This window comes from Homo sapiens, chromosome 17, assembly GCF_000001405.40.
Source record: "Homo sapiens chromosome 17, GRCh38.p14 Primary Assembly".
NCBI lineage: Eukaryota > Metazoa > Chordata > Mammalia > Primates > Hominidae > Homo > Homo sapiens.
Genome location: NC_000017.11, coordinates 54,941,920 through 54,969,802, shown reverse-complemented (window position 1 = coordinate 54,969,802; position 27,883 = coordinate 54,941,920). Strand labels below are relative to the sequence as shown.

Genomic DNA, 27,883 nt, shown 5'->3' with positions numbered 1-27,883 from the left:
GCCAGCAGGTCGATTGGTGTCAGGCCCACAGTTGAGAGGGCAATAAATAAATAAAATGTCGAATGACTAGTTAAAATTTCTCAGGCCTCCAAGTTCCTCATCCACATAGTGGGGATAATTATACCTGCTCTGGCCATTAGAAATGGCCACGTAGCAAGTAGAAATACAGCCTAACTTTTAACTACATTCTTACTATGCCTCAGTCATCATGAAAGACGTTATATGAATATTATTCATTTACTGTTCTGATTTCCATTTTACAAGTAAGGACACCAGGTCTTAGAGGACAAGTAACTGACCTAAGGGCACAGGGCCATGGTGAGGACCCGGGTAAAAATCCAGAACCCCCTAACCTCAGAACCTGAGCTCTTAACTGCTATTTTATAGTTTCTAGAAAGATGCTTCCTTCTAACACAGTAAAATCCGCTATGCTGTCTGCCCCCCTCGAGTTCGTCCTGTGGGACAACTGAAGAAAGCTATTACATCCTCCCACGGGGTTCGTTTCTTTCAGTCTCTCCTTAAATGGCCCTCCTATCCTGGTCACTCTCTCCAGAACAAACTTCAGCGTGACAGCCTCCCTCCTGCTCCAGCTGTGGTGCTTTCCACTGGGCAAGTTGTAAGGGGCATCAGAGCAGGGGAAGCCGACTGCCCACGGGCTGAGAAAATGCAGGTGTCGTGGGTGCCCATGAGGGCTGCGGTTAACACAGCAAGGCTTCCTGAGAGAGGTGATACTTGAACTAAGTCCAGGGCAGTGAGCACAGGAGCCAGCGGCCAAGGGACCCCAGGAGAAAAGACCGCGGGAGAGCGTCGCCGGGGCTGCCGGGTCGAGACAAAGGCTGGTGGAGTTTAAATAAAGATCACAGGCGCAACCCCAAGTGATGGCAAGCTTGCACGCGGACGGGCGAAACGCATTTTCCTAAATGTTAAGAGACGTTCTGGCGAGAAGCGAAGTGGGAGTAACAGTCACAAAGCAAAACGCAAACTTACCCGTAATCTGGCAACCCGGCCTCCGTAGCCCGACTGCAAGCGCTGCCACCTGAGGAGCCTGGTAGCCAAGGCAGCGGCAGGCTCAACCCAGATCTCGCGAGACGGAGCACGCCTCGCGAGATTTGACCTCTCGTCCCTGAGAGGCGGGTGGGTGTTAGTTCAGAGGGTTATGGGAGGGCTCTGGCGTCCTGGATGGAGGTGCGTTCCTTTCTGTGGCTGGCGCTGGATCCACCCTGGGTCTCCAACCAGGGCTGCAGAGAGGGTAGAGCCGTTTCTTAGGCCAGAGTGGAGTGGGACAGGAGGTGCCGAGAGAGGACTGAGGTGGCTTGGGACATGGAAGCGCTGCAGCCTTCGAGCCCGGCATCCAGCATTGCAGCCGCCGCGGCGGCCTAAGAGCTCGAACCCTTTCACACGCGCGCAGGAGGAGGAGCGGCGGCGGCAGAACAAGACGACCCTCACTTACGTGGCCGCTGTCGCCGTGGGCATGCTGGGGGCGTCCTACGCTGCCGTACCCCTTTATCGGCTCTATTGCCAGGTAGGGGCCGGCGCCGCCCGCAGGGTGGCGCAGACGCGAGAGGTGGGGGTGCAAGACAAATCCCGGGACAAGCCCTCGCTCTGCGGGTCGTAGGTGGAAGAGGTTTCCGATATTATCTACCTAAGAGGAGAGAGGTTCAAAACAGTCACTTAACACCCAAAGTCACCAAAGAAATTGGTGACAAAACTGCAAGTAGCATCCAGTTCTTAGTGATTGTGCTTATACCATGCTGCAGAGTGAAACCCCTGATCTATGAACTGCACCTCGCCAAAAAAAAAAAAAAAGGTCCGCAGCCTCTAACCGGGTATCTAGCAGTCTGCCTTACCCTCCTGCGCACACACGCTTTTAAAATGTATTATTCATACATTCACTCTGCAAACCACATGTGGTTTATGTGCCAAGGGTAACTCTGGAAATTGGACTACTCGTGTTTCTTGGGCTTAAACTGGGATTAGCAGTTCCTCCGTACAAAGAGGCATGAATTAGGCCTTTGAGGCTCTCTCGCCCCACCCCTGTTAATATATAACTGTAATGTACTTAACCTGGAAACTGTTAAGTACATTGCAACGGTTCTGGGAGTGTGGCGCCCAGGACCGGCAGCATCAGCATCACCCGGGAACCTGTTAAAAGTGCAAATTCTAGGGCCCGACTCCAGGACTGAGTCAGAAACACGGGGTGGGGGGGTGGGGCGGGGAGAAGAAGGGGAGTGGGACCAGCACTCTATATTTTAGTTAAGTCCTGTAGTTGATTTTGAGGGCAAGTTTTGAGAACCACAGGCAAAGACAAGTTTCACGTATTTTAGAGATTTCTCCTTTGTTCTTAGCTAATAATTTGCAGCTTTGGCTGGCCATTAGGATCACCTATGGAGCTTAACGTTAAATACACGTTCCAGGGATCCCCTACCCCAGAGATTCTGGTTAGGAAGTCTAGGGTAGGGACAGGAATTTCGGTTTAAAAATCATGCCACAAGTGATTCAGTAAGTGTTTAAGATAGTGGCTCCCAAAATTCATTGTACAGCAACATTGGGAATCACCTGGACAGCTTCTAAAAATCCACACACATTACCCATTTTATCACAAGGCCACAGTGGGAACCAGGCATCAGTAATTGTCAAGTATGTTTTAGGTGATTCCAGCGTGCAGGAAAGTTTGGGAATTGTTTTTTTAACACCATGACTGGTATTCTTAGCTGGAGTTCACTCTTTCCGTGTGTGTGTGTGTGTGTGTGTGTGTGTGTGCGCGCGCGCGCACGTTTATTTATTTAAATTTGTAGAGACGAGGTCTCCCTATGTTGCTCAGGCTGGTCTCAACTCCTGGGCTCAAGTGACCCTCCTGCCTTGGCCTCCCAAAGTGCTGGGATTACAGGCGTGAGCCACCATGCCCGTGGAAATCAATTTACCTTTCTTTTAGATGATGAAGCAGAAGACAAAAGGACTTTTCTTTTCTGGCATAGTCTCCTAATGCCAGCATTTATGTGGGAATGTGCAATAGTTGATTTTGAGGATGAGTATAGAATGTGAATTACTTTTCATCAGAGACCAAGCCCAAGCATGAATTCTAAAACTACCAGTTGGTTAAATCATAAGCAGAACTGAATCCAAATCAGCAAATCTAGATCCTTCTCAGACCGCCAGGAGATTTTTGCCCCTCAGGGAACATTTAGCGATGTGTGAAGACATTTTTGGTTGTCACAACATGGAGGTGGGGGTATAGGGTGCTACTGGCATCTAATAGGTAGAGGCTAGGAATGCTACTAAATAACCAACAAAGCACTGCCTCACCCCCAAACAACAAAAAATTATTCAGCCCAAAATGTCCATAGTTCTAAGATTGAGAAACCCTGCCCCAAACTGAAATAACTGATAATATTGCGTGTGAAATGTGCCCACATGCAATCATAGATCAGGAAGCCAAATGTAATTTGTAATCTATCAGGTTCTTAGAGCTAGTAGCACAACTAGAATAGAGACCAGGACATCTTTTTAGTGCTGTTTTCTAGTCTTTTTGTCTATTTTACTTTAGGCATTGAACTTAGAAATTTGAACCCATATTCAAAGACTATATTGGAATCTTTATTGAGGGAGGACACTTAAAAGTATTTTTATTTAAGTGACTTAAATTTTTTAGTAAAAGAAGTTACATCTTAAACACAGCACTCAGGCAGAAGGATAAACAAGGATAAAGGCTTGCCCTCTGATGCATCTTTTAGGGATATAATGTAATTCAGTAATGTTGCATGGCAGTCAAATGAAGTTAGTTGACTTGCGTAACAAACAGAGAATGCTAAAACACTGTATCTTGCTGGGAGTCTTCCCCTAGCCTCAAATTTGTTTTTTGTTTTTTCTTCCTAGCATAGTAACAGGCAAATTATCCAGAAATCAGAATTCTGGCAACCTCAAGTATCAGAAGAAAGATGACCTTGGAAGTAAGGGCGTTTTTTTTTTTCTTTTGAGATGGAGTCTTGCTCTGTTGCCCAGGCTGGAGTGCAGTGGTGTGATCTCGGCTCACTGCAACCTCCGCCTCCCGGGTTCAAGCAATTCTTCTGCCTCAGCCTCCCGAGTAGACCTGGGACTACAGGCGCGTGTCACCACACCCGGCTAATTTTTTTCTATTTTTAATAGAGACGGGGGTTCACTGTGTTAGCCAGGATGGTCTCCATCTCCTGACCTCATGATCCGCCCCCCGTGGCTTCCCAAAGTGCTGGGTAAGGGCTTTTTTTAAAAGTGATGTCAAGGAAATAACTGTCATGAATAAAAGAAATGTCAGACATAAATACTCTTGATGCCCTATGATTATTTCTGTGGCCATAGGGATTAGGTGCTCTGATTAGTGATTTATATAAAAGCTCTACTATACAGAGAAGTACAGAAAAGATTCAAAACCATTAACCAACGTGGGAAAATACCTGTGATACCTTAGAAAAGCAGAATGTTAATAAAAGTGAAGCTACAATCTTATTTGGATTATAAAAGCTGTGATATGGAAAAGGACCAGACAGGAATATGGAAAAATTGAGTTAAGTATTTTCAGTGGAATTACAAGGTCATGGGTAAATTTTATTTCTATTAATGAAATACTAGCAATAAAGGGAAATGTGTTTTTTATAAATGGCTAAGCTGGAAATTGTGAGTTCGACTATCAGTGATAATAGTTGACTTATCTAGTGAACCTGCTTTTCCCAGACTCATTTTTGACCATGCCAGGTAACCAAGGGATTGCTGAAAAATAGGAATGACTTTAACAAATACAGGCTCATGACATCCCAAAAGTAGTCAGATTCTTGACACAGTTACAGCAATGGTCAGTTACCATATGTAAACTTGGCTCCAAATGGATTATAAATACTACATTGTTTTTAAACTTTTATCAAATAAATAGATCATCAACACCTAAAAGTATTGTTTAACATATTTGGTATCTTTTTCTAGACTACTGGACTTGGAGGATCAGCAGTTGCAGGTCATGCCTCAGACAAGATTGAAAACATGGTGCCTGTTAAAGATCGAATCATTAAAATTAGCTTTAATGCAGATGTGCATGCAAGTCTCCAGTGGAACTTTAGACCTCAGCAAACAGAAATATATGTAAGTGACTAACCAGTCATTAAAAGATTACTTTATTAATGTAAATTCCTTTCTTTCATCACTTAAACTGTCAGAGGACTAATTTTAACACTATGATTCTAATAAAACATGGCATTTTCCATTGTTCCAAATTGACTTTTACTATCATGTAACTTAAAAGTTAAAGTATAAATTCTGTTACATTAGGTGTAAAGCACTATTAAAAAGTAGTCTATGGGAATAAAAAAATTTATAGTAATGGAACCCGTCAGTATTTTGAAATTAAGTTTAGATGAGTGAAACAGTTGGGAGTAGCAGTAACCGTCAGGCTATATAGCTTCCTGACTTTTCCTCAGGCATAGAAGACATGGGAAAAATGTGGAAAAGCATTGGTTACAATGAGTAGTTTACTGGTTTATATCAAAAGTATCCCTGTCCTTCTAAAAGAAAACAAATTGAGGGCCTTTGAAATAATCAATAAGTAGTAAATAGTTATGTTATACTCCAGTGAGACTGAGACTATACCTAAACGCTTTCCTAAAATTTTAACCAACTGTAAGAAAGATTTTAACTGAAATCTCATTAATTGAGGATTAGCCAGAGTGAGTTAATTTCAACCCATATTGGAAAAGCCTTATAAATATTAGTGCTTGCCCAGTTTAGTAAACATGACTGAATCTCTTAATAAAGATTTTATAGGTTATGATTATGAATCTTCTCCAATTACGTGGTAGTATACAAAGGTATTAGTGGCTGAATTGGTACAAGTGACAGAATATCCTTTGGAAAATTTTTTTAAGCCTCGCTATTCCCTTATTTTCTCCAAAGTATTAACACTTTGTGGCATAATAAAGGTTCTAGTCAGTCAGTTTTATTCTGATTTTAAGGTAAGTTTAATGTTGGTATCTTTTTAAAAAAAATAGTCAATCATGACATTCAGGTATAAGTGTTACAGAAAAGTTGGGCTAGGGCTGTGATATGATTGGCTTGGACACATTTTAAATAATGTAATTTGCCGATTATTCCTTGAAGACCTCAAATATACAAGAGGACAGTTCATAACTAATTATGGATATTAGAACATTGGTTCTTCATTGACATATGCAAGTAAGTTTTTAAACTCAGATATGTTTATGGGTAATATTCACAATTTATTTTGCTGAACCCTACATTAGATTAGGTATTATGGTCTGATGAATAGGCAAAATAATGAGACTAATTTAGCAGGGAAAAGAGGAACTTTGTGAGATTCAAAGTATTGATAATATATATATTCTTTAAAACAGGTGGTGCCAGGAGAGACTGCACTGGCGTTTTACAGAGCTAAGAATCCTACTGACAAACCAGTAATTGGAATTTCTACATACAATATTGTTCCATTTGAAGCTGGACAGTATTTCAATAAAATACAGGTACATCAAAGTGTAAACTTTACAGAATATGATAAAGATACATGAAACGGTTTAGTATGAAACTTAGTGTTTTAGTAGATCTTGTGATTTCTGAAAACGAATTTCTTCTAAACATCAAGCTATTTTTCTTCACTATCTATACCTGCTATGCAGAGATTGAGAACCAAACCAAATGGATATCTGCTTTTAAGATTAGAATTTGTTCTTCATCCTTAAAGCAGAACTCATTGAGATGAAAAGATGCTCTTAATTTATCACAGAACTGTGTATTTAATAGTATGCTTATTAAAATCACGAAGTGTACTGGAATGCTAAGATAAAAGAACTGTATAGTTTCTGTTATGTAATACGAGAATAGAAATGTTATTAAAATCTTTCTATAATTTCCAGTGCTTCTGTTTTGAAGAACAAAGGCTTAATCCCCAAGAGGAAGTAGATATGCCAGTGTTTTTCTACATTGATCCTGAATTTGCTGAAGATCCAAGAATGATTAAAGTTGATCTTATCACTCTTTCTTACACTTTTTTTGAAGCAAAGGAAGGGCACAAGTTGCCAGTTCCAGGATATAATTGAAGTCAGCAACTAAGTCTTCCTTCAAAGTTGTGATTTTTGGGAAAATCATATATCCTATCTTCTCAAAGGAGAAATATTGTACAATAATATGAAGGCTTATATTTTAAATAATTATTTTTTCTCAACTAATTTTTTTCACTTAAACTTGAGAGAACAAGTTCAGCTTTTATCATAAGAAACTCATATGCCTAGCTAGAATATATGACTGACTATTCAATACCATACTGAAGAGTTTGATACTATTAAAATAAGCCGCTTTGTTTTTTAAATATGCAGGCATGGGTTCAGCTTAATTCCATAATTCCCTTCCAGATTATTAACTCTTCATACTTACAGCAATGAATCTGACAATGTTTTTCAAAAATGTATGCTCAGGGTTATTTGTTTCAAGTCATAGGCCAGAACTTCTAACCATGTTTATTGTGTCTAAAAGAGTTGGTTGCTATTTTCCTTCATTATGAATAGTCAGTATTTTAAAAGCTCAAAGTAGAAGAGGAGTCACTAAGCCCTAACAGCTTGTCCAAAGATTTAAATTCTTATTTCAAATTTGATTTGTCCTTTAAGGTTTAGGGCTATTTTATATTCAGAGTTCTGAATAATTACTTTGAAACTGTAGTATCATAAAATTGAAATAAAATACATCTACTAGGCTGTTAGCCAAAGCATCACCATTACAAGTCCATGAATGTTAAAATGTACAGGTGGGATTGTGAAGATTTACTGACATCAAAAGTTCTTCTGGAAACAAACCTTTGTTAAAAAAAAAAAGTATTAAATTGTTTTAATAGTGATTTATTTGTCATCAAATGTACAACTTATTCTAAATATTTTCATTTTCTGTGTTCTAAATAGAAATATTAAGTTGCAGTAAAAAGAGAAAAAAAGGCTATTTAGCATTACAAAGAATCATATTTAAAGGCTGCCCAATGTAGAGTCTAGTGACCTGTTCAGGACACCTGAAATATAATTAAATGACAATTATCAAGGTTTTAACAATTTATAATTCTAAACCAGAGGATTATAAAGAAGTGCAAATTGACTTTTACATTCAACTTTAGTTAAATGAAGGCACTCAGTATTCTTCCTGAATAATACATTCAGTTTCTCACATTTTATGCTTTCATCTATTCAGAATTATTTCATAGTAAAATAATCTACTCTTATCACAGCTGTGTGACGATTTCTAAATGTAGGAAGGCCTGTGAAACATGACACTGCAGTTAAATTGGTTGGCCTAAGGACTAAGTAATTTTTCTTCTGCTGAAGTTTTAAGTGAGTATTTGTTCCAAACAAGTTCTGTTGAAATCTCACGCTGTTGTCAGGAATCAGTGTTATCCTGGAACTGTTATTCTATTTAATCTTCATTATAGCAGAAATGTGCCACCATGGCTTTGACATGTTGGTAGGTATTGTCTTCCAGGCTTCAAAGCTGCACAGAGTCTACGTTTTAGAGAGTTGGCACCTTTGATGTGGTAGTGAGCTGATCATCCACTTTCTTCTAAAATAAAGAGAAGAAAATGGCCAGTATTCATCCTGTCCTTCTCTTTCCCCATTCCTTGATAACTCTCTTGTCTTTACTGGGAAGCTGGAGAGTCACAGTCTAGTAGAAGAAAGGTAAGAATGTGCTTCTTCCATAGGGGAGGGTATAAGGGGAATAAATAAGTTTTGATAGTTCATTGGTGACCATTAAATAGTAAATACATGGGATTAGTAGTGCTGAAAATAGGAAAAATTCAGACCTATTTGGAGGACTAACGGTAAATGGGTCTACTGGTACCGGTTAACAAGTATTAACTGCATATGAAAAACAAATGCCTGATTTCAGTGCTACTCCTATTGCTCATCTATTTTGTTAGCATTAATATTTCTATACCATAAACTACTGTATTCCCAAGCCTTACTATTTACAGATGAGAAAATCACAAAGAATGACTCTCATTAGTGAACAATGGTTCAGCACAATTTGAATGATTCAGGGGAACTCATATTTCAAAGTGTCAGACTCAGATGGCCCTTAGAAAATTTAAATACTAAATATGTAAAGTGATAATTATACTGAAATTATATGGAATATGGAATTAAGTTGTATAAGTTGAAGTCTTTACCTCAGTCACCATCATTTTGAGCTCCTTTGTGCTGGTGAGCATCAATTTCTTCATAAATAGCTCTGAAACAAAGCCATCACAGCAAAAGGGTTATGTATCAATTTCAAAGTGCTATTTTGGTTTTTAACTGCCAGCACTGTAATTAAAAATTGAGCTGGTTTTGGAGTTCAGGCTACATATGAGTAAAAATAAGTCTCTGCCCTGAAGTGTGTATTCTAGTTTATTTAAATTCTAATGTTGCACTTCATTTTTTCTTTTTTTTTGAGACAGAGTCTCACTCTTTTGTCCAGGCTGGAGTGCAATGGTGCTTTCTTGGCTCACTGCAACCTCTGCCTCCCAGGTTCAAGTGATTCTCCTGCCTCAGCCCCACGAGTAGCTGGGATTACAGGGACACACAACCATGCCCAGCTAATTTTTTTGTATTTTAAGTAGAGACAGGGTTTCACCCTGTTGGCCAGGCTGGTTTCAAACTCCTGACCTCAGGTGATCCACCCGCCTCGGCCTCCCAAAGTGCTGGGATTACAGGTGTGAGCCACCACACCCGGCCTTATTGTTGCAATTCCTATGTCTCTTAAAAGTATGTATTTCATAGAACCAATTAATTTTTTCTTGTGATTGAAATGAGAAATATGACTCAAATTTGGACAGTTTATGTTTTGCTTAAAAAACTCCTCAGTTTCTTCTGGTTTCAAACTTTTTAAAAAAATATTAGGACAAGTGCAGTGGCTCACACCTATAATCCCAGCACTCTGGGAGGCTGAGGTGGGTGGATCGCTTGAGTCCAGGATTTCAAGACCAGTATGAACAACATGGCAAAATACCATCTCTACAAAAAACATAAAAATTATCATGTGTGGTGGTACACACCTGTAGTCCCAGGTACTCAGGAAGCTGAGGTCGGAGGATCACTGGAGCCTAGGAGGCGGAGATTGCAGTGAGCTGAGATCGTGCCACTGCACTCCAGCCTGGGCTACAGAGCAAGACTTTCGTCTCAAAAAAAAAAAAAAAAAATTAATCTTCCAGCTTATTTAAACTATGTGATTACAGTCCAGACTCCTCAGCCATCTATAGCTCATCACTGTCATTTCTGTACTTTTTTTATATTGTATTTTTTCAATGACATCCTTCATTCGTTTTTCTTTTTTCTTTTTTTTGAGACAGGGTCACTGTCACCCAGGCTGGAGTGCAGTGGTGCAATCATGGCTTATTGCAGCTTCGACCTCCCAGGTTCAAGTGATCCTTCCACTTCAGCCTCTCAAAATGTTGGGATTAGAGGCATAAGCCACCATGCCAGGCCCATTCAATTCTTTATATGCGTCTTACATATGTCTGTAGCTGGAAAATATACCTGAAAGCACAACATTCATATATACAGTATAGCAAAACATGGCTGAGGAAAAATCTCAAAAATCACAGCGCTATGAAACCATGATCACCAAGTTCATAAGGCCCCAGAATGGTGCTACAATTTTAATGTTTCCCTAAAAAGTTTGGTCTCATCTCCCTCAAAACGATTTCAGTCTTCTTCACTCTCCTCAAACCTCTAAACTCTCTGGTAGAAACTGCATTCTTAATACATTAAATGTCTTGATATGGAAACTTCCTCATTTTCCCATCACTAAATCTTCAAGTTTATCTTCATTTGTATTGTCCATTATTTCTGTGATCCTGTCTATTCCTGGCTTCTGAAGCACTTGACCCATTCAGTTATTCTTCCCTTCCTGAGTCTTCAACCTCTCCTTCTATGCCAGATCCTATTCTTCAACATTCACAGATTCTCCAGCATCTCCCATGTCTCCCATTTTATACAAAGTACAGCCTTTAATTCCATCTCTTCTTGTAGTAAATGCCTTAGTATCCTCTAGCTACCAACAACCCCTTTTTTTTTTTTTTTTTTGAGATGGAGTTTCACTCTTGTTGCCCACGCTAGAGTGCAATAGTGGGATCTCAGCTCACTGCAGCCTCTACCTCCTGGGTTCAAACGATTCTCCTATTCATCCTCCCGAATAGTTGGAATTACAGACACCCGCTACCACGCCTGGCTAATTTTTGTATTTTTAGTAGAGACAGGGTTTTGCCATGTTGGCCAGGCTGGTCTCAAACTCCTGACTTCAGGCGATCCGCCTGCCTTGGCCTCTCAAAGTGCTGGGATTATAGGCGTGAGCCACCGTGCCCGGCCCCAAACCTGTTTTCATCACTGCTTCATATTTAAGTTCTAAGAAGTTATCTGTACTTACTGTCTCTACTTAATCTCTCATGTGCTTTTCAAATGCACTGAAATTTGGGTTCTGTCTTCATCAGTCCATCAAAGTAGCTTTTACTAAAATCATCAATGATCTCCAATCCATTATCTAGTTTTCAGTTCTTATCTTACTTGTCTGCCCCTGGCACTGTTCTTCACAGTTGTACTCGCTCCTTTTTGCTTCCAAATTACATTTTCCTCATCTGGTACTGAGCTCCCTGTTAACTTTCTTTACTCTTGGTTTTAGCATTTCCATTTCCTTGAATGTGCCAGAGCTCTGTCCTCTGGGTCTTTGTACAGGTTGTTCCTTGGGCCTACAATACTCATTTCCAAACTTTTCACTTAACTAAGAATTGCAGGCCTCAGCATTAATGCTACCTGAAGCTTTCTCTAATCCTCATTTAAATTAGTTCTGTTACAAACTTTCAAGTTGCCATATTCTTTCATAACATTAACACAAATTTTGTAAACATGTATTTGGTGGTTTGTCTAATTTCTGTATCCATACTACGTTTAACCTCTGTGAGGACAAGGGAGCATGTTTCTTGTTCAGAATTATAAATTAGTCCAGTCATAGTCCCTGGCACATAATATTGAAATTAGTGAATCGTGTGTATCTTCATAAACATACTGTTTGTCCTGGTAGAGCAAAAATTGTCAACCTGGGATTCATGGACAACCAATGATGTGAAAAAAACCCAGTAATTTCCTGCAAGATTCTGTGCTTTTCCTTGGAGGGAAGTCCCTGAATTTCATGGGACTTTCAAAAGAACTGAGACATTCTGACCCCCAGAAAGAAAGACCCACCACAGTGATAAAAGAGTTCCAAAGCTTCACCTCCAGCTTTTTACTGTCTCTCCCACCGCCAGTATCTGTGACACTGCCGTATCAACATACAGCAATCTCCTAATTTGAATATAATCAAGAACTTTTCCACTACCTGTTTGGATGGAGAAACTGATTAAAAAAACGTTTCTAGAAAGCATACCTAGTTAAGTGCCAGTGTCTTAAACCACTAATATGATCAGTGATATATCTACTCTATCAGGCAGAATGACTTAGAGAAATTTCTCAAACCTGAGTTAGGAAAAAATACATAGTGGACTCCTAAGTCCCTTAACATCTGCTCATAAATTAAGTCAACCATTACATTGAGGGATTAAACCAGGGACCAGAATATCAAATGTCTACACATGTCAGCCAAAGAAGAGATGCAGAGGGTTGGGTGGGGCTGGAAGCAGATAGGAGGGGTCTCCAGGGACTATAGGAGTACAATCAACTTGAGTAATCACCTGCTTTTTTCCCCAAACCCTGTGTGGAATGCAGCCAGCTAGCTGGTTTAAACCAGTTCATGACAGACCTCAGCAATTTACAGATGGATCCCAGTGTACTTTCCTCATTACCATGCTAGTATCTTCACCCTGGGAGATGCTATAGCTTCATTACCATAACATGTGACCTGTGTGCTGAAATAACGACTCACTGCATCTGCACAACTGCAACCCCTTTCCATGCAACGACATACCCTCTTCCCTCTCTATCACCCCATAAAACCCTCCTGTCACTTTCCTGCTTTGGAGACTATGCCCGGTGCTTTATTTGTGACAAGTAATAAAACTATTGCTCAAAGCCTGCATTCTTGGTTGGTTATAGTGGCTCATGCCTATAATCCCAGCACTTTGGAAGGCTGAGGCAGGAGGATTGCTTGAGCCCAGGAGTTCAAAACTAGCCTGGGCAACACAGACCCCCTTCTCTATAAAAAAGAAAAAAATTAAAAGGCTAGGCACGGTGGCTTACACCTGTAATCCCAGCACTTTGGGAGGCTGAGGTGGGTAGATGAACTTGAGACCAAGAGTTCGAGACCAGCCTGGGCAACGTGGCAAAACCCTGTCTCTACTAAATATACAAAAAAATTAGCCAGGCGTGGTGGCACATGCTTGTAGTCCCCAGCTACTCAGGAGGCTGAGGCATGAGAATTGCCTGAGCCTGGGAGGCAGAAGTTGCAGTGAGCCGAGATCACCCCCACTATACTCCAGCCTAATGACAGAGTGACACTCTGTCTCAAAAAATTAAATTAGCCAGGCATGGTAGCACACCCCAATAGTCTCAGCTACTCATGAGGCTGAGTAGGGAGGACTGCTTCAACCTGGGAAGTCAAGGTTGCAGTAAGCCGTGATCATGCCACTTTATTCTAGTTTGAGTGACACAGTGAGACCCTGTCAAGAAAAAATAATAATAACCTGTGTTCTCATGGAGAGTTGTCTATTACCAGATGAATGAATCTCAGGTTTTTTTAGGGGTAACAAGTCTGGTACCCCAGATGAGACCCAGGGTTGAGCCCTGACTTGACCTCCCTTATAGGCTCCTGGCAGGCAAAGCAGTGGGATGTGGAAGCATGCGTGGGCCAACTCACCTCAGTTGCCAAGAAGGAGACTAGAGAAGGGCCTTGGGACCCCTGACCTGGTGTCTAGTGTAGTCCACTGACCAGCACCACAAGACCTCTCTGGGAGAGTAGAAGCGGCTGCCTAGAGCCCAGACCTTTTGCTCGGTGCTGCTTTGAAGCAGCAGCTCCATGAACTACTAAAAGAGTGGTCTGGGTTTTGATCATTAGGATTCTGGGTTGTCAGGATTAGGACCTAGGTCAAGGGATCCAGGATTGTTGAGAAAAAGAAGTTCCTTCTTTCAGGTCTGGGAGACTGAGAGACATCGCCATCGTTTTAACAAGGGGAATCCCCAACAAAAAGACAAGGATGCTTGTCTTCAGGCTTTGTTCCCTACGTGGTATAACTGTAGGGCTCAATATTCTTACTTGTCTGTGGCCTGAATGAATATGAAGTCTGGATTCTTCTACCCTTAGTCTGTGGCAACCCCTAAAATATCAGGCTTTGTTTTGCAGCAGTCACAGAAGGACTGCTGTTAGTTTGATGAGGAGACCCAAGTTTCAAAGGGGGCAGTTTTGGTGGGATCATGATCCCTGGAACCAGAATGCAGTGATACAAAGGTTACATGAACAGTGTGTGTGCTTTCTCTGAGGAAACACCTCACTCACTTGATTGATTTACCTACCTCCCCACCACCTGAGCTGGATCCAGAACTACTTCATTGTCTCCATGAGATCTCCTGGGAGGCTGCCCGGACCGAACATGATCCAGGGAAAGGAAATCCCTGTTATCCTCTCAGCTTCCCAGGACCTCTGGATGGCTTTGCATGGTGGCCAGCAAAGAGGACCAGAAGTATTCAAGCTGAGTTGTGGGATTTGTGTCATCATTAATCTCCAGAGTTTGGAAGCCCCTCAGACTGTGTGCAGAGACCGTAGAATGTCGTGAACTAGGTCTTGGAAGGAGAGCTTGTTAGGGTGCCTCCTCTGGCAATGGAAACTGCATATCCACCCATGACCAAAAAGCAAATGATATATTACTGTAATACAGCCTGGCTCCAGTATTCCCTAGATCAGAAGAGATGGTCTGAATATGGGTCACTTACTGCAACTCTCCAATTGGACTTTTTTTGCAAGAAACATGGTAAATGGGAAGAAATGCCCTATATGCAATGTTTTATGGCCCTCTATCAAAACCCTGCCTTGCAGATGAAATGCAGAATATGTAAATTGGCCAAAGGGAACTATATTGCCAATTCTAGAAGCCTCTGGAGAGGAAGCATCAGTCATGTGGGGGCCTATAGGGAAGGGAACAAGTAAGAAGAGTCCCTTTACTACCCCCTCCAAGAGAAGTGAGGCCCTCTAACTCTACTCGGGGACTGGAACCTTGGCCAATACAGGGGCATAGTCCACCTTCTTGGAAATGGTACCCTCTGCACCTCCAGGGAAAAGCAAGGGCCCGTTCTGTATTTGCCAGGCCCTCCAAACTCTGCAGAGCCAGCTGTGGCTCCTGCTATGGCAATAGCAGGCCCCTGTTGCACTCTTCTTTGCCAGGGAGCACCACTCATAGTGGGAACGCATATAACCCTGGAGGGTGACTGTTGCCACTCAGAGCATGCCTGTTGGAGAAAGAGGTTTTGCTCGGGTCTATGTGTTTTTTAAAACTGTTGACTTGTATAACTGGAAATCCCATAGTAAGGGCTTATGGGTGAGCCCACGAGAGTTCGTAACTCTCATATGGAGAATATTCTCCACACATAACCCTACCTGGCCAGGTGTGCAGACCGTAACAGCAACCCTGCTCACAGCAGAAGATAAATCTGCCACCATGGCCAAAACTAAGGAGGAGGCAGACAATATGTGTGCTGATAACCTGGTGACCTGGCCCGTTGAGGTGTCAGTCCCAATAGCCAACCCAAACTGGGACCCCAGTGATAACAAGAATCAAGAGTGGCTTCATCATTATAGGAATATGCTTCTCAGAGGTATGAGGGAAGCAAGCCAGTCCCTGGTCAATTGGGGAAATCTCAGAGAAATAGAACAAGGCCCTAATGAAAATCCATCAGCATTCCTAAATTGATAATAAGAATGCCTCCAGAATTACACCCCTTGGGACCCAGATGACCCAAAAGCTGAGTAGTACTTTAATCTCACTTCATCTCTCAGCCCCAGATATTCAGAGAAAACTCTAAAAAGTGGCAATAAATCCACATACTCCCCCTTTCCAACTGGTAGACATCTCCTTTAAGGTCTATAGTAAAGAGATGTGGCATCTGATGAAAAGGAAGACAAGAAGATGCGGCAGCCCTACAGACTACTTCAGGAAGCCCAGGAAGAAGATGGCATGGGTGAGTGACCAGGGCCCCCACCATGGAACTCAGGGCCTGCCTACACTGGGGCCCAAACAATATGCTTACTGGAAGCAGAAAGGATGCTAGGAAAGGGAATGTCCAAATCATCCCCAGAGAGGGAAGGAGGAGGACAAGCCCAAGGTACCTGTTCCCTGTAACTGGACAAGAAACTGATGGATGGGGACATGGGGCTCCCTGCCTGGCTCCTCAAAACAAGATCCACATCTCCCCCAAGGAGCCCCAGGTTACACAGAAGAAGGGGGGCAACCAGTTGGATTTTTTTTCGTTTGTTTGAGACAGGGTCTGTGTTACCCAGGCTGGAGTGCAGCACCGTGATCATGGCGCACTGCCGCCTCCAACTCCCAGGCTCAAGCAGTCCTCCCACCTTAGCCTCTCAAGTAGCTGGGACTAAGGCACACCTGGCTGATTTTTTTGTTTGTTTGTGGAGACAAGGTCTCGTTATGCTGTCAGGGCTGGTCTTGAACTCCTGGGCTCAAGTGATCCTCCAGCCTTGGCCTCCCAAAGTGTTGGCATTACAGGCATGAGCCACTGCTCCCGGCCACCAGCTGAGTTTTTGATCAACACTGTAGCCATGTTTTCTGTGTTGATCACTAAAAGTGGACCCTATCCAGGAAGAAATGTATATAAGGGGTGTGTCTCATAAAGGAAATAAAAGATTCTTGGAGCCTCTGGTCCATGAAATAGTATCTAAAACTTTCACTCATTCTTTCTTCTGTTCCCCAAACATCCCATTCTCCTTTTGGGAAGGGACCTTCTGACTAAGTTTGGAGCCACAATTTCTCTAAATCAGGACAGAATAGAGGTGTTCTGAGCCCATGGCACTGCCATGCTGGCCCTAGTTCCTGGGGAAGTTCCAGACTTGGGGCCTCATATGACTCCTTGGCTAATGCGGTACTAGATAATTGTATAGCATTAGACTGCCTCTTAGCAGAACAGGGAGGAGGAGAGTGTGCAGTTATTAATTCCTCTTGCTGTACCTGAATAAATACCTCAGGGGAAATAGGAAGTTAACATTAGGAAGGTCCATGCCCAAGCCTCTTGGTTCCACACTTTTAATCAGCAGCCATATTTTTTTTTTTTTTTTTTTTTTGAGACAGTCTCGCTCTGTTGCCCAGGTTGGAATGCAGTGGGGCACGATCTGGGCTCACTGCAACCTCTACCTCCTGGGTTCTAGCGATTTTTCTGCCTCACCTTCCTGAGTAGCTGGGACTACAGGTGCGCACCACCACACCTGCCTAATTTTTGTATTTTTAGTAGAGACGGGGTTTCACCATGTTGCCCAGGCTGATCTTGAATTCAGGGTGATCTGCGCGCCTTGGCCTCGCAAAGTGCTGGGATTACAGGGGTGAGCCACCACATCAGGCCTAATAGCCATACTTCTAATTCTGTTTGAGAAGTTCTCAAATTAGCAATACCAAGTGTTACTTGGTTTCTTCCCCTAATGAGGCCACTAATTTTATTGCTCTTACTACTGTTGTTTGGTCCCTGCATCTTTAACCTCTTCGTAAAATTTGTATCTTCCAGATTAGAAAAATTTCAACTGTAGGTGCCTTTGCAACCTATCCTGGGAGACCCTAAAACATATTTAGTTTTAGTGCCTAGAGATTTTCACTCCTCTAACATCTCTGGATACAGTGTCCCTGGTCAACATGAAGAAGTTACAGAAGAACGCTTTCTGATCCTGGCCCCTAAAGAATTTACTTGTGCTAAGTAATAAAATTCCTATTGATCAAAACCTGTGTCCTTGTGGAGAGTCAGATATCTGTTACTATCCAGGTGAATGAACCCTGGGTTTTTTGGGTGGTAACAGGACCTGAGGGGCTGCAGAGCCTACCTGTGTAAAGGAGATAGCTACTACTCAACCCCAGCCCATAGCTAGCACGTAAAAATTCAGGCTTCGTGTTGACAGAGTATCTAAATGATCTAGAAGTCCAGAATTTTTATTTTCAAATATCCGAGTTTTCAGCTGTTGGCAACTGTGGTCTTATGATACATACTGGTTTTTGTCTAAGGTTCCTGGCTCACAACTCCCATAGCCCTTGTTACAGTCTTTTGTTATAATGTTGGGTGTGTCAGGCCTTAGGAGCCAGCCTCTGGAAGCAGAATCTCTCGACCTTCTCTAGTCCTCCTTTCACCTGCCCCAAGGCACCACTCTAATCGCCCACCTTTGTCACTGTGGGTCATAAGAGCCTCCCTAGAGAGGGTCCTGCCCTATACCCTGGGGGAAGGAATGCTGACATCAAGAAGCTTCCATTAAAAACCCTAGAGGACTGGGTTGGGGTTGGGTCAGGTCAGTTTCTGGATAGCTGAACACGTGGAGGTACCTGGAGGGTGGGACTCCAGGGAGGGCACGGAAACTCCATGGCCTTTTCCGCATGCCTCGCCCTGTGCATCTCTTCATCTGCATCCTTTGCAATGTCCTTTATAATAAACCAGTAAATATAAGTATTTCCCTGAGTTCTGTGAGCTGCTCCAGCAAACTAATCAAACCCAAAGAAGCAGTCATGGGAACCCCAACTTGAAGCCAGTCAGTCCTAAGTTTAGAGGCCCAGGCTTGTGACTGGTGTCTGGGAAGGTAGGTGTCGGGGTGGTGGGGACTGAGCTCTCAACCTGTGGGGTCTGACACTATCTCCAGGTAGATGGTGTTGGAATTGAATCAGAGGACACCCAGCTGGTGTCCATTGTAGAATTCATTGCTTGCCTGCTGATGGGGAGAAATCCTCACATATTTGGGGGCCACAGAAGTCTCTGCATTCATTGTTATATTAGAGTGAGAGCTGAGGAAAAACATGGTTGAGAGTTTCCCAAACCAGCAATTAATTTTTTAAATGCACATTTTAAATTCTGCACAGGTCAAAAACAAACAACTGCAAGCAAGATAGAGCCTGTAGGCTGTCAGTTTCTGAACAATGATTTCCAATAAACGTGCTTTAATAATTTTTAACAATTTGGGGGTAACCTTCAGTCACTCAAAGTATATTAAAGTTCTTATGACCTTACCATTCCATTAATATTTATATATCTTGACCAATATGAAATCATAAAAGAATGTTGCTTTAAGGATTTTAAGTAAAAAGTAATTGTACTAATGCTTTAGAAGACTAAAAACAAGTTCTAATATAAGATTTTTTTGGATCAGTTCATAAAGAGCAGCTAAAATATTCCATCAATGTGGCATAAACTTATGTCACCAATCAGTGACTAGTACCCTTCTCAAGCTAAAGAGAACATGACTTTCTGCCAAGGGATCTATGAGGAGTCCATTAAGCAGGTTAGTTCCAGTTATTTCTTAACATGCAACCCCAGCATTTTTATTTTTTAGTCACAAGGCCGGAACGATAAGACCATTAAGAGTAACAGCTGCCATAAAACCTCATAAGGCATTTTTAATAAGGCCATCAATTTCTGCCAAGACCTAAACAAAGTTAAATGTATAACCAAGCCCTGTTAGCTCTGCTATCAAAGGGAACCAAGACAAAAAATAAATTAATCATTTTGTAAATGACTTACTCTGTAGTGACAGCAGGAGCTAAGGGATCAAACTCCATTACCTCGTAGTAATTAGGTGGCTGGAGATCACTTTTTGTCATCGCTTTGGGCAAAAAAAGAGACCAGTAAACATATTGTGCTTTTTGAGGAGTACACGCAATTGATATTCTTTTTATAATTTAGACTTCAAATATTAGATCCTAATAAACACAACCAAAACAGACTGGTGTCCCAATGCTACTCCCAAGTTCAACAAATCTGTATGTATCAAAAAGGTTTCCAAACCTCAACTAAAGATTCATTTACCTTAGCATTCAAAACACAATACTCAGTTTAACACAAGCATTTTTACAGTCTCTTATAAGTCAGTCATAATGGTATCTGCCCTGAATTTGTTTCATTAGCTTAAAAATACAAAAGAGCATCTCTAATTTCTCCTATTTTCAGTTACCAATGAATCTCTGGCAGACTCATATATTCTCATAAGTTTCCTTATTTGATGCGAATAATAAGGTCCCATGTACCTGGATGATTGCTGGGCAAAGGTGGCAGACTCTGGTTTGATGGTGCTGCTGCAATGGTTTGTAGACTAACTGGCTGTAGAAACACTGAATTTGAATGTTCCAGAAACTGAAGAAAGCATAACACATGTTCATATAAACGTTCTACATTAAGCTTTTCTTTTATTACTGAGACTCCTACACTTGCAAGTACATTGTTCCAAGAACTTTGAACTGGACAAGAATAAGTTGTTTTTAATTATTACTTTAGTTTTTTTAGGTAATAATCACTTACGAGATTTACTACTTTTCTGCTGGGCATGGTGGCTCATGCCTGTTATCTCAGCAATTTGGGAGGATAGGTGGGAGGATTACTTGAGCCCAGGAGTTCAAGATCAGCCTAGGCAACAGCAAGACCCCAACTCTACAAAAAAAAAAAAAAAATAGCTGGGCATGGTGGCTCACACCTGTAGTCCCAGCTACCCCAGAGACCAAGGCAGGAGGATCACGAGCCTAGGGGTTTGAAGCTGCAGTGAGTTATGATCATATGATCATGCTATATATTCTAGCCTAGGTGACTGAATGAGACCCTGTCTCAAAAACAAGAATTTACTATATTTTTGTCTGATTTTATGCCTAATGCACCCTATTTCCCATAGAAACTGTGAAAAAAAAACCATATATTGCTTTTAAAAATGAAGCAGATTCAATGGCTCAGGCCAGATTCTCTGTTGTTTCACTCTGAATATAAAATCTCAGCCTTGAGTAGGAAAAAAAAAATTTAAATCTACAGAGAGGCACTCAGTGACACAACAAAATCAGGATTGATAAAATATTAGAATCTTAATTAGAAATATCTCTTCTCATAATTTTCCTTATTCACTCCACAAATATATCCTGGCCACCTACCAGCTGCCAGGCACTATTAATAAAGCAATAAACAAAGCAGACCAAGTTCCTGCCCTCATGACTCAGACAATCAACAAATGTGAACAGATATCCAATGGCATGTGCTCTAATATAAAAGCAGAGTAGTGGGTGGGAGAGAGACTGGGGTGGAATACTGCTCTAATAGGTCGTGGTCAGGAAATGTCTCATCACTGGGGACGTTTAAGCAGAGCCTGACTAAAGTGAGTCTTGTGGTTACTGGAGAGGACACAAGTTCACAGTCTCTGAAGTGGGGGAGGCCAGTGTGGTTGGAATAGAGTGAGCCAAGGTAGAGAGGGGCAGGAGGTGAGCCTGGAGAGGTGACGGGTGCGGTCAGATCGGCATTTCAGGCATTTACTGAGTAAAATGGAGTGAGGAAGAAAATCACAGGTGGGTTTTGAGCAAATGAGTGACATAATATGACTTCACTTTTTAAAAAAGAATGCCCCTGTTTTTGTTTTGAGAACAGATTATGAGGTGGGTGGGAGGGATGCGAAGGGAGGCAAAGGTTGAAACAGGGCTTCCCTTAGAGGCCACTGCAATGTCCATCCGATGGTGACTTGGACTAAGATGCAGAAGTGGAGGTGGTGAGAAGTGGCTGAATAATTGACATATTTTAAAAGTAAAAGGCAAAAGTAAAAGTAAAAAGGTGGATGTCAAGCGCTATTACCCAAGGTTTTTGACCTATGCAGCAAAGAGCAGAGTGGCCATTGACTGAGGTGGCAAGTCTGCAGGAAGGGCAGGTTGAGAGTGGAGACTGGGAAGAAATCAAGAGGAGACATTAAGTGGAAAGTAGATATATGAGTTCTGAGTTTAGAGAAGGGGTCTGGGCTACAAGAGATACAAACTTGTAGGTTGTCAAAAATTGAATGGTTATTTCAAGATATGAGACCAAAAGACCACAGAGGAATGAATGTAGATAGAAAAGTCTGAAGCCTGATCCCTGGGGTCTCCAACAAGAAAAGGTCAGTAGAGGAGGAAGAGCCACCAAAAGAGATGGAGAAGAAATGAACGTGAGGCAGGAGAAGAACCAAAGTGACTGGTGTCTGAAAGCCATGTGTGCAAGAAGGAGGAAGTGATCAACTTTGTCATTTGTTGCTGATAAAATGAGGGACTATGGAACTGCAGTTCTAAATTTCACAATACAGAAGTCACCAGTGACCTTGACAAGAGTTATGTCCATAGAGTGGTAGAAGAGCATGTCTGAAGTCAAAGAGAATACAAGGAAAGGAAGTGGAGATAGCAAATACAAACTCCAAAAAAATTTTGATCCTTACCATCTTGCTAACAGGGGCTGCGCATCAACACAATACTGAGCAGAACATGGGAATTAATGACCATGAGTTCTTTTCTGGCTACAATAATCTGCTGACTAGATGCACTGCTAGAAAAGAGTTTTGTTACTTACATTATCATATGCGTGGCTTGAGGTGAGGTTTTGGCTGGTCCTTTGGGCAAACCTAGGATAGTGTGATAACACAGAATGATTACCCTACAGTGAGAACACAAATGCAAAAAGTAAGATAATTTTCCTAGTCTAAAAACAAAACCTAAAAGGTACCTTCAGACTGCATAAAGTGTCATTTTGTAATAACTGTTTATAAAACAATTGGTTTTAGTGCACATCAGGTTATGATGCCATGGGTGGTGGGAGCCCTGAGACTGTGGAGTGTGCACGGAACACTAAGACCAGAGCCTTTAGTCTTTCCATCAGTGTAGCTACCACCCCATCGTTTCTTAAAGGATGAGAAGTAGTATAGAACACAGGTTAAGAAGAAAGCTGTGAGGTCTCCGGTCCAGGATAAAGCGGAGCAAACGTACTGCACTCTGTCTCTCCACTGAATGTCACTTAAAGGTGGACGGAATGCATAGAGCAAGTATTTGAGGACTCTGAATAATAGGAGCAGCCTGATTGGGAAAGAAGACCAGAATTCAAGTATCACTGAACTGTTGGTGAATTTACCGTTTTTTGCCTCTTCATATTTCCTGACCAAATGCAATGCAGTCTGAACCCCAGGCATCAATGAGAACAGACAGAGCTCTAGGAGAAGGGTTCTCATTCTCACTCAAGAAGCAGGAAAGGGAAACAATCCTAACACTCAGAATGTAGAAATCTCTTGTCCCTTTTTTGTCCTCTTCTCTCTGTTTTCTCACAACCCAAACCACAGGCAACCCCAAAGTGGCTGTAGCGACAGCCGAGGCAATGGGACTTGTAGGAAATTGAAACACAGAAGAATCTTCCTCTTCAATAGGAGCTGTGATACCCACAGCTTTTTTCCTTTCTGTCCTGCCATTTAGTCAGACATAAGCATAGTCAAGGAAATGTGTGGTATCATAGGGTAACTAAAGCTCCAGCTTTATGACTGGAGAAGCAAAAAGGGGAGTCCCAGGAAACTAGAAAGTACCAGATAAATCACGATGATGGAGGACTCAGGAAAACAACCTCATGAAGTTGTTTATGAAATACTGAGCTCACCCCCTGACCTGGGCATGCATGGATCCCATCTCAGTCACAATGTCAAAAACGGTGAGAAGTGAACAAACAACCTGCCACCTTAGACTGACCACAGGATGGAACATACATGAGACATATTTGAATGGCACTGCAAAGGCTTTGAAAATGTAGCTGACATTGGAGCCACCGCCCATAGAAGAAGGCTAAAACTGTGGAATGAATCTAGCCAGGTTGTTTACATGCTAAAATCAAAATAACATTCTTGATGTGATTTAAATTAAGACCAAGAGTCTCCTAATAAAACATTAAAAATGTCCAAGATAGAATCCAAAATTATGAGGCATATGAAGAACCATGAAAACTTCAACTTGCATGAGAAGACAATAACAGATATCGATGCCAAGAGGACACAGATGTTGAAATTATCTCAGAGATATTTAAGGCAGCTATTGTACACATGCTCCAAAGAACTGCAAACAATCTTTAGAAAAAAAAACCTGAAAAATAGAAAGTCTCAGCAAAAACACAAGATATAAAGAACCAAAATGAAATTTCAGAACTAAAAACTACAATAACTGAATTAAAAAAAAAACTTAACAGAATGAGCTCAATAGCAAAATGGAAATGACAGAGGAAACAGTCGGTGAACTTGAACATAAATCACAGAAAGTGTCCAATCTAAACAGAGAGAAGCAAAGAGTAAAACAAAGAAACAAACAAACAGGACCCCAAACACCTATGAGACAATGGCACAGGTCAACATTTGTGTCATCAGGGTTCCAGCAGGAGAGCAGAAAGACTGTAGTTCTGAAGAAAAGAAAGACTAAAAACATCACAAGTTTGGTGAAAGACATAAAGCCACAAACCACATTCAAGAAGTTCCATTAGTGGGTTAAATGGTGGCCCCCCAAATGCTATGCTCATGTCCTAATTCTCAGAATATGTGAATGTTATAAATGTTATCTTAATTGGAAAAATGGTCTTTGCAAATGTAACTAAGGATCTTAAGATGAGGATACCATCCTGTATTATCTGGGTGGGCCATAAATCCAATGACAAATCACCTTAGAAAGGCAGAGGGAGATTTGGGACACATACAGGAAAAAGCCAGGTGAAGGTACAGGCAAGAATTGGAGTGACATGACCAAAAGCTAAGAAATCCAAGGAGTACCCACAAGTCATTGGAATCTGGAAGAGGCAGGGAACAGATGTCCCCGTAATAGTTGTGGAGGGAGTGTGACTCTGCTGAATTTCAGACCTCTTGCCTCCAGAACTGTGAGATAATAAATTTCTGTGGTTTTAAACCACCCAGTTTGCAGTCATTTGTTATGACAGCCCCAGGAAACTAATACATTCAGCCAACCCCCAAGAGAAAGAAACAAAAGAAATCCATACCCCACATATTGTAATCAAACTGTTCAAAATTGGATAAAAAGAAAAATTATTTAAAGCAGACAGAACCACAATACATTATCTATAGAAGAACTGCAACTCCGATGAATGTAGATTTTTCACTAGAAACCATTTAGGCTAGAAAGAGTGGCACAGCCTTTTAAAACTGCTGAAAGAATAGAAGCATGAGCCCCATATTCTGTAGTCACTGATAATATCCTTCAGGAACAGACAAAATAGAGGCATTCTCACATGAAGTAAAACTAAGAGACTTCACTGTCAATAGACCTGCTTTAAAAGAACTGATAAAGAAAATTCTTCAGAGAGAAGGGAAATTATACCAGAAGAGAATAGTAAGAGAAATGGTAAACATTGGGTAAATATAATAGACTATTTTTCTCTTCTTGAATTTTTTTTTTTTTTTGAGATAGAGTCTTGCTGTGTCGCCCAGGCTGGAGTGCAGTGGCACGATCTTGGCTCACTGCAACCTCCGCCTCCTGGGTTCAGTCAATTCTCATGCCTCAGCCTCCCGAGTAGCTGGGATTACAGATGCGCACCACCACGCCCGGCTAATTTTTTCTATTTTTTGGTAGAGATGGGGTTTCACCATTTTGGCCACGCTGGTCTCAAACTCCTGGCCTCAAGTGATCCACCCACCTCGTCCTCCCAAAGTGTTGGGATTACAGGCATGAGCCACCACGCCCGGCCACTTCTTGAATTCTTTGCAATATATCTCAGGGTTGTAAGCAAAAATTACAGCATCATCTGTTAGTGGTTTCTTTTCAATGTATAGAGGAGTAATATATAAGATAACTATTATAGAAAAGGGGAATCTATATGGTGATAAGGTTTTTACTTCCTTTTATTTATTTATGTATTTATTTATTTATTTATTTGAGACAGAGTCTCTTTCTGTCACTCAGGCTGGAGTGCAGTGGCTGTAATCTCGGCTCACTGCAACCTCCGCCTCCCGGGTTCAAGTGATTCCCCTGCCTTAGTCTCTGAGTAGCTGGGATTACAGGTGCCTGCCACCACGCCCAGCTAATTTTTTGTATTTGTAGTAGAGACAGGGTTTCACCGTATTAGCTAGGATGGTCTCGATCTCCTGATCTCATGATCTGCCCGCCTCAGCCTCCCAAAATGCTGGGATTACAGGTGTGAGCCACTGCGCCCGGCCCAGGTTTTTACTTTCAAGTAGTAAAGCATTGATTTTAGGTAGACTGAAAAATAAGTATACTGCAATCACTAAAGCAAACTCTCTTTATATATATGTGTGTGTGTACATGTATATATAAACATATATACATATATATATTTTGCTAACAAAATTAGCAAAATAACAGGAAAAGAATCAGCTACTTTAAACCACATTATTTACCAAGCAACTTTATTTCACACACACACACACACACACACACACACACACACACACCATTATACAAAGATACAGTCAAAATCACAATAAACTAAAATGGAGCACTAAAAATATTCTAATAATCCAAAAGAAAGCAGGAAAAAGGAAACAGAAAAAAAGGAACACATAGAATAACTATATAACAGTAGACCTAAACTCTACATACAATTAAATTAAATGTAAATTGCCTAACATATCAATTAAAAGAGATTATGAGAATATATAAAAATGCATGAACCAACTATAGGCTATTTCTAAGAAACTCCTAATCTTTTAGTACAGTTAAGTTACAAGTAAAATGCAGAAGAAAATATACCAGGCAACCACTAAACAAAAGAAAGCTAGAGTGGCTATATTACTATCAAAATCAACATCAGGACAAAGAAAATTATGAGGGACAAAGAAGGACATTACATAATGATAAAAGACTCAATCAACCAATAAGATCCAACATAGCCGAATGCATGAGCTTCAAAACACATAAAGCAAATACCAACTTAATACAATCTCTTCTAGAAAGATGATATATTGTATAATTCTACTTGAATGACATTCTCAAAGACAAACTATAGCAATAGAGAATAAACTCCTGGCTGCTGGGGATTGAGGGTCAGGGGTACAAGGGTGTGACTATAAAGGAATAGCACACGGCAGTTTTGCTGAGTGACGGAACTATTCTGTATCCTGACTGGGGGTAGTTATTTGAATCTATACGTATGTTAAAATAAATAAAACTGTACACCAAACCAAAACAAAAAAGGTCAATTTTAGTATATGAAAATTTTAGAAATAAAATTAAAGTACAAAACTAAAAACAAAAAGAGAGAAGTTACTGAAATCAGAATTTGATTTTGAATCCCATTTAAATTTGAATCCTGTCTCAGTACTAGCTGGACAACCACTGGCAAGTTAATCTTCCTCAGCCTTGGTTTCCTCTTGTTTAAAATGAAAATGATGGTGGCACATACCTCATAGGTTAAGTAATTAGTAAGCATTTCTATACTTCTTAGCTTGTTGCCTGTTAGTAAATGGGTCATAAATATGGCCTATGAGCCGGGCACAGTGGCTCATGCCTGTAATCCCAGCACTTCAGGAAGCCGAGGTGGGCAGATCACCGTAGGTCAGGAGTTTGAGACCACAGCCTGGCCAACATGGTAAAACCAGGTCTCTACTAAAAATACAAAAAAAAAAAAAAATTAGATGGGTGTGGTGGCGGGTGCCTGTAATCCCAGCTACTTGGGAGGCTGAGGCAGGAGACTCGCTTGAACCTGGAAGGTGGAGGTTGCAGTTGGCCAAAATCGAACTACGGCACTCCAGTCTGGGTGACAAAGTAAGACTCTGTCTCAAAAAAAAAATGACCTATGTTTTATCCTGTCTTCTTTGTTATTGTTTTTTAAGGATTCTTTCTGTTATGAAAAACTGCATCACCCACTTTTTCTGTGATGGTGAATAAATTAAACTGCAAACAAAGGGATGGAAAAAATCTCAACATTATAAGACATTTTAATGGCTGATTTTGCCTCTCACAAGTGATCTTAGG

The 27,883-nt window shown here is 41.3% G+C and overlaps 3 protein-coding genes across 36 annotated transcripts in view, besides 6 other annotated features; 1 reads left to right on the top strand and 2 right to left on the bottom strand.

Annotated features, from left to right (window-relative positions):
* The window catches only part of STXBP4 (syntaxin binding protein 4), a 244,509-nt gene extending 243,471 nt beyond the window's left edge, over positions 1–1,038 (bottom strand). For all 14 annotated transcript variants that reach the window (XR_007065289.1, XM_047435714.1, XM_017024410.2 and 11 more), the window contains exon 1: positions 988–1,038. The gene's annotated coding sequence lies outside the window, so the exon portion shown is untranslated. The remainder of the gene's footprint in view (positions 1–987) is intronic.
* Positions 181–1,129: an enhancer, noted in NCBI's record as "H3K27ac hESC enhancer chr17:53046035-53046983 (GRCh37/hg19 assembly coordinates)". NCBI's record gives its function as "activates a minimal SCP1, AML or CMV promoter by ChIP-STARR-seq in primed H9 embryonic stem cells {active_cell/tissue: H9 hESC(primed)}" and the evidence as "EXISTENCE:reporter gene assay evidence [ECO:0000049][PMID:30033119]".
* Positions 721–770: an enhancer, noted in NCBI's record as "active region_12411". NCBI's record gives its function as "activates an Ori minimal core promoter by ATAC-STARR-seq in GM12878 lymphoblastoid cells {active_cell/tissue: GM12878}" and the evidence as "EXISTENCE:reporter gene assay evidence [ECO:0000049][PMID:35858748]".
* Positions 851–950: an enhancer, noted in NCBI's record as "active region_12410". NCBI's record gives its function as "activates an Ori minimal core promoter by ATAC-STARR-seq in GM12878 lymphoblastoid cells {active_cell/tissue: GM12878}" and the evidence as "EXISTENCE:reporter gene assay evidence [ECO:0000049][PMID:35858748]".
* COX11 (cytochrome c oxidase copper chaperone COX11) lies at positions 1,018–17,901 on the top strand. Of its 14 annotated transcripts, none has more exons than XM_017024196.3 (6): positions 1,018–1,522; positions 4,951–5,106; positions 6,372–6,497; positions 8,491–8,684; positions 16,044–16,142; positions 17,691–17,901. In XM_017024196.3, exons 1-4 carry the CDS (start codon positions 1,157–1,159, stop codon positions 8,536–8,538), a joined length of 696 nt encoding a protein of 231 aa, XP_016879685.1. In that variant the 5' UTR covers positions 1,018–1,156; the 3' UTR covers positions 8,539–8,684; positions 16,044–16,142; positions 17,691–17,901. The 14 variants fall into 14 exon arrangements, 11 of the variants coding, with proteins under 11 accessions (XP_016879685.1, XP_047291326.1, XP_024306351.1 ...); XM_047435370.1 differs by having other exon boundaries at positions 6,888–8,684; XM_024450583.2 differs by having other exon boundaries at positions 10,337–17,901.
* Positions 1,130–2,079: an enhancer, noted in NCBI's record as "H3K27ac hESC enhancer chr17:53045085-53046034 (GRCh37/hg19 assembly coordinates)". NCBI's record gives its function as "activates a minimal SCP1, AML or CMV promoter by ChIP-STARR-seq in naive and primed H9 embryonic stem cells {active_cell/tissue: H9 hESC(naive and primed)}" and the evidence as "EXISTENCE:reporter gene assay evidence [ECO:0000049][PMID:30033119]".
* Positions 1,131–1,210: an enhancer, noted in NCBI's record as "active region_12409". NCBI's record gives its function as "activates an Ori minimal core promoter by ATAC-STARR-seq in GM12878 lymphoblastoid cells {active_cell/tissue: GM12878}" and the evidence as "EXISTENCE:reporter gene assay evidence [ECO:0000049][PMID:35858748]".
* Positions 1,221–1,280: an enhancer, noted in NCBI's record as "active region_12408". NCBI's record gives its function as "activates an Ori minimal core promoter by ATAC-STARR-seq in GM12878 lymphoblastoid cells {active_cell/tissue: GM12878}" and the evidence as "EXISTENCE:reporter gene assay evidence [ECO:0000049][PMID:35858748]".
* TOM1L1 (target of myb1 like 1 membrane trafficking protein) overlaps positions 7,847–27,883 on the bottom strand; it is a 61,105-nt gene continuing 41,068 nt past the window's right edge. For 5 of the 8 annotated variants that reach the window (NM_001321175.2, NM_005486.3, NM_001321176.2 and 2 more), the window contains 5 exons: positions 22,491–22,542; positions 20,180–20,285; positions 19,677–19,758; positions 9,176–9,237; positions 7,847–8,568 (listed from right to left, as the gene is read on the bottom strand). In NM_001321175.2, coding sequence (NP_001308104.1) covers positions 9,177–9,237; positions 19,677–19,758; positions 20,180–20,285; positions 22,491–22,542 — 301 coding nt within the window. In that variant the 3' untranslated portion in view covers positions 7,847–8,568; position 9,176. Of the gene's footprint in view, positions 8,569–9,175; positions 9,238–19,676; positions 19,759–20,179; positions 20,286–22,490; positions 22,543–27,883 lie in introns of those variants that run through there. The other 3 variants (XR_243612.4, XM_047435068.1, XM_047435067.1) reach the window with 2 other exon arrangements.

What these genes read in the sequence shown, in the direction of transcription:
- COX11 (XM_047435370.1), top strand. Translation starts at nt 1,157, where the DNA reads ATGGGAGGGCTCTGGCGTCCTGGATGGAGGTGCGTTCCTTTCTGTGGC. An exon ending in CTCAGCAAACAGAAATATAT is followed by an intron (nt 5,107 to 6,371) that starts GTAAGTGACTAA and finishes TCTTTAAAACAG; the next exon opens with GTGGTGCCAGGAGAGACTGC. An exon ending in AGTATTTCAATAAAATACAG is followed by an intron (nt 6,498 to 6,887) that starts GTACATCAAAGT and finishes TATAATTTCCAG; the next exon opens with TGCTTCTGTTTTGAAGAACA.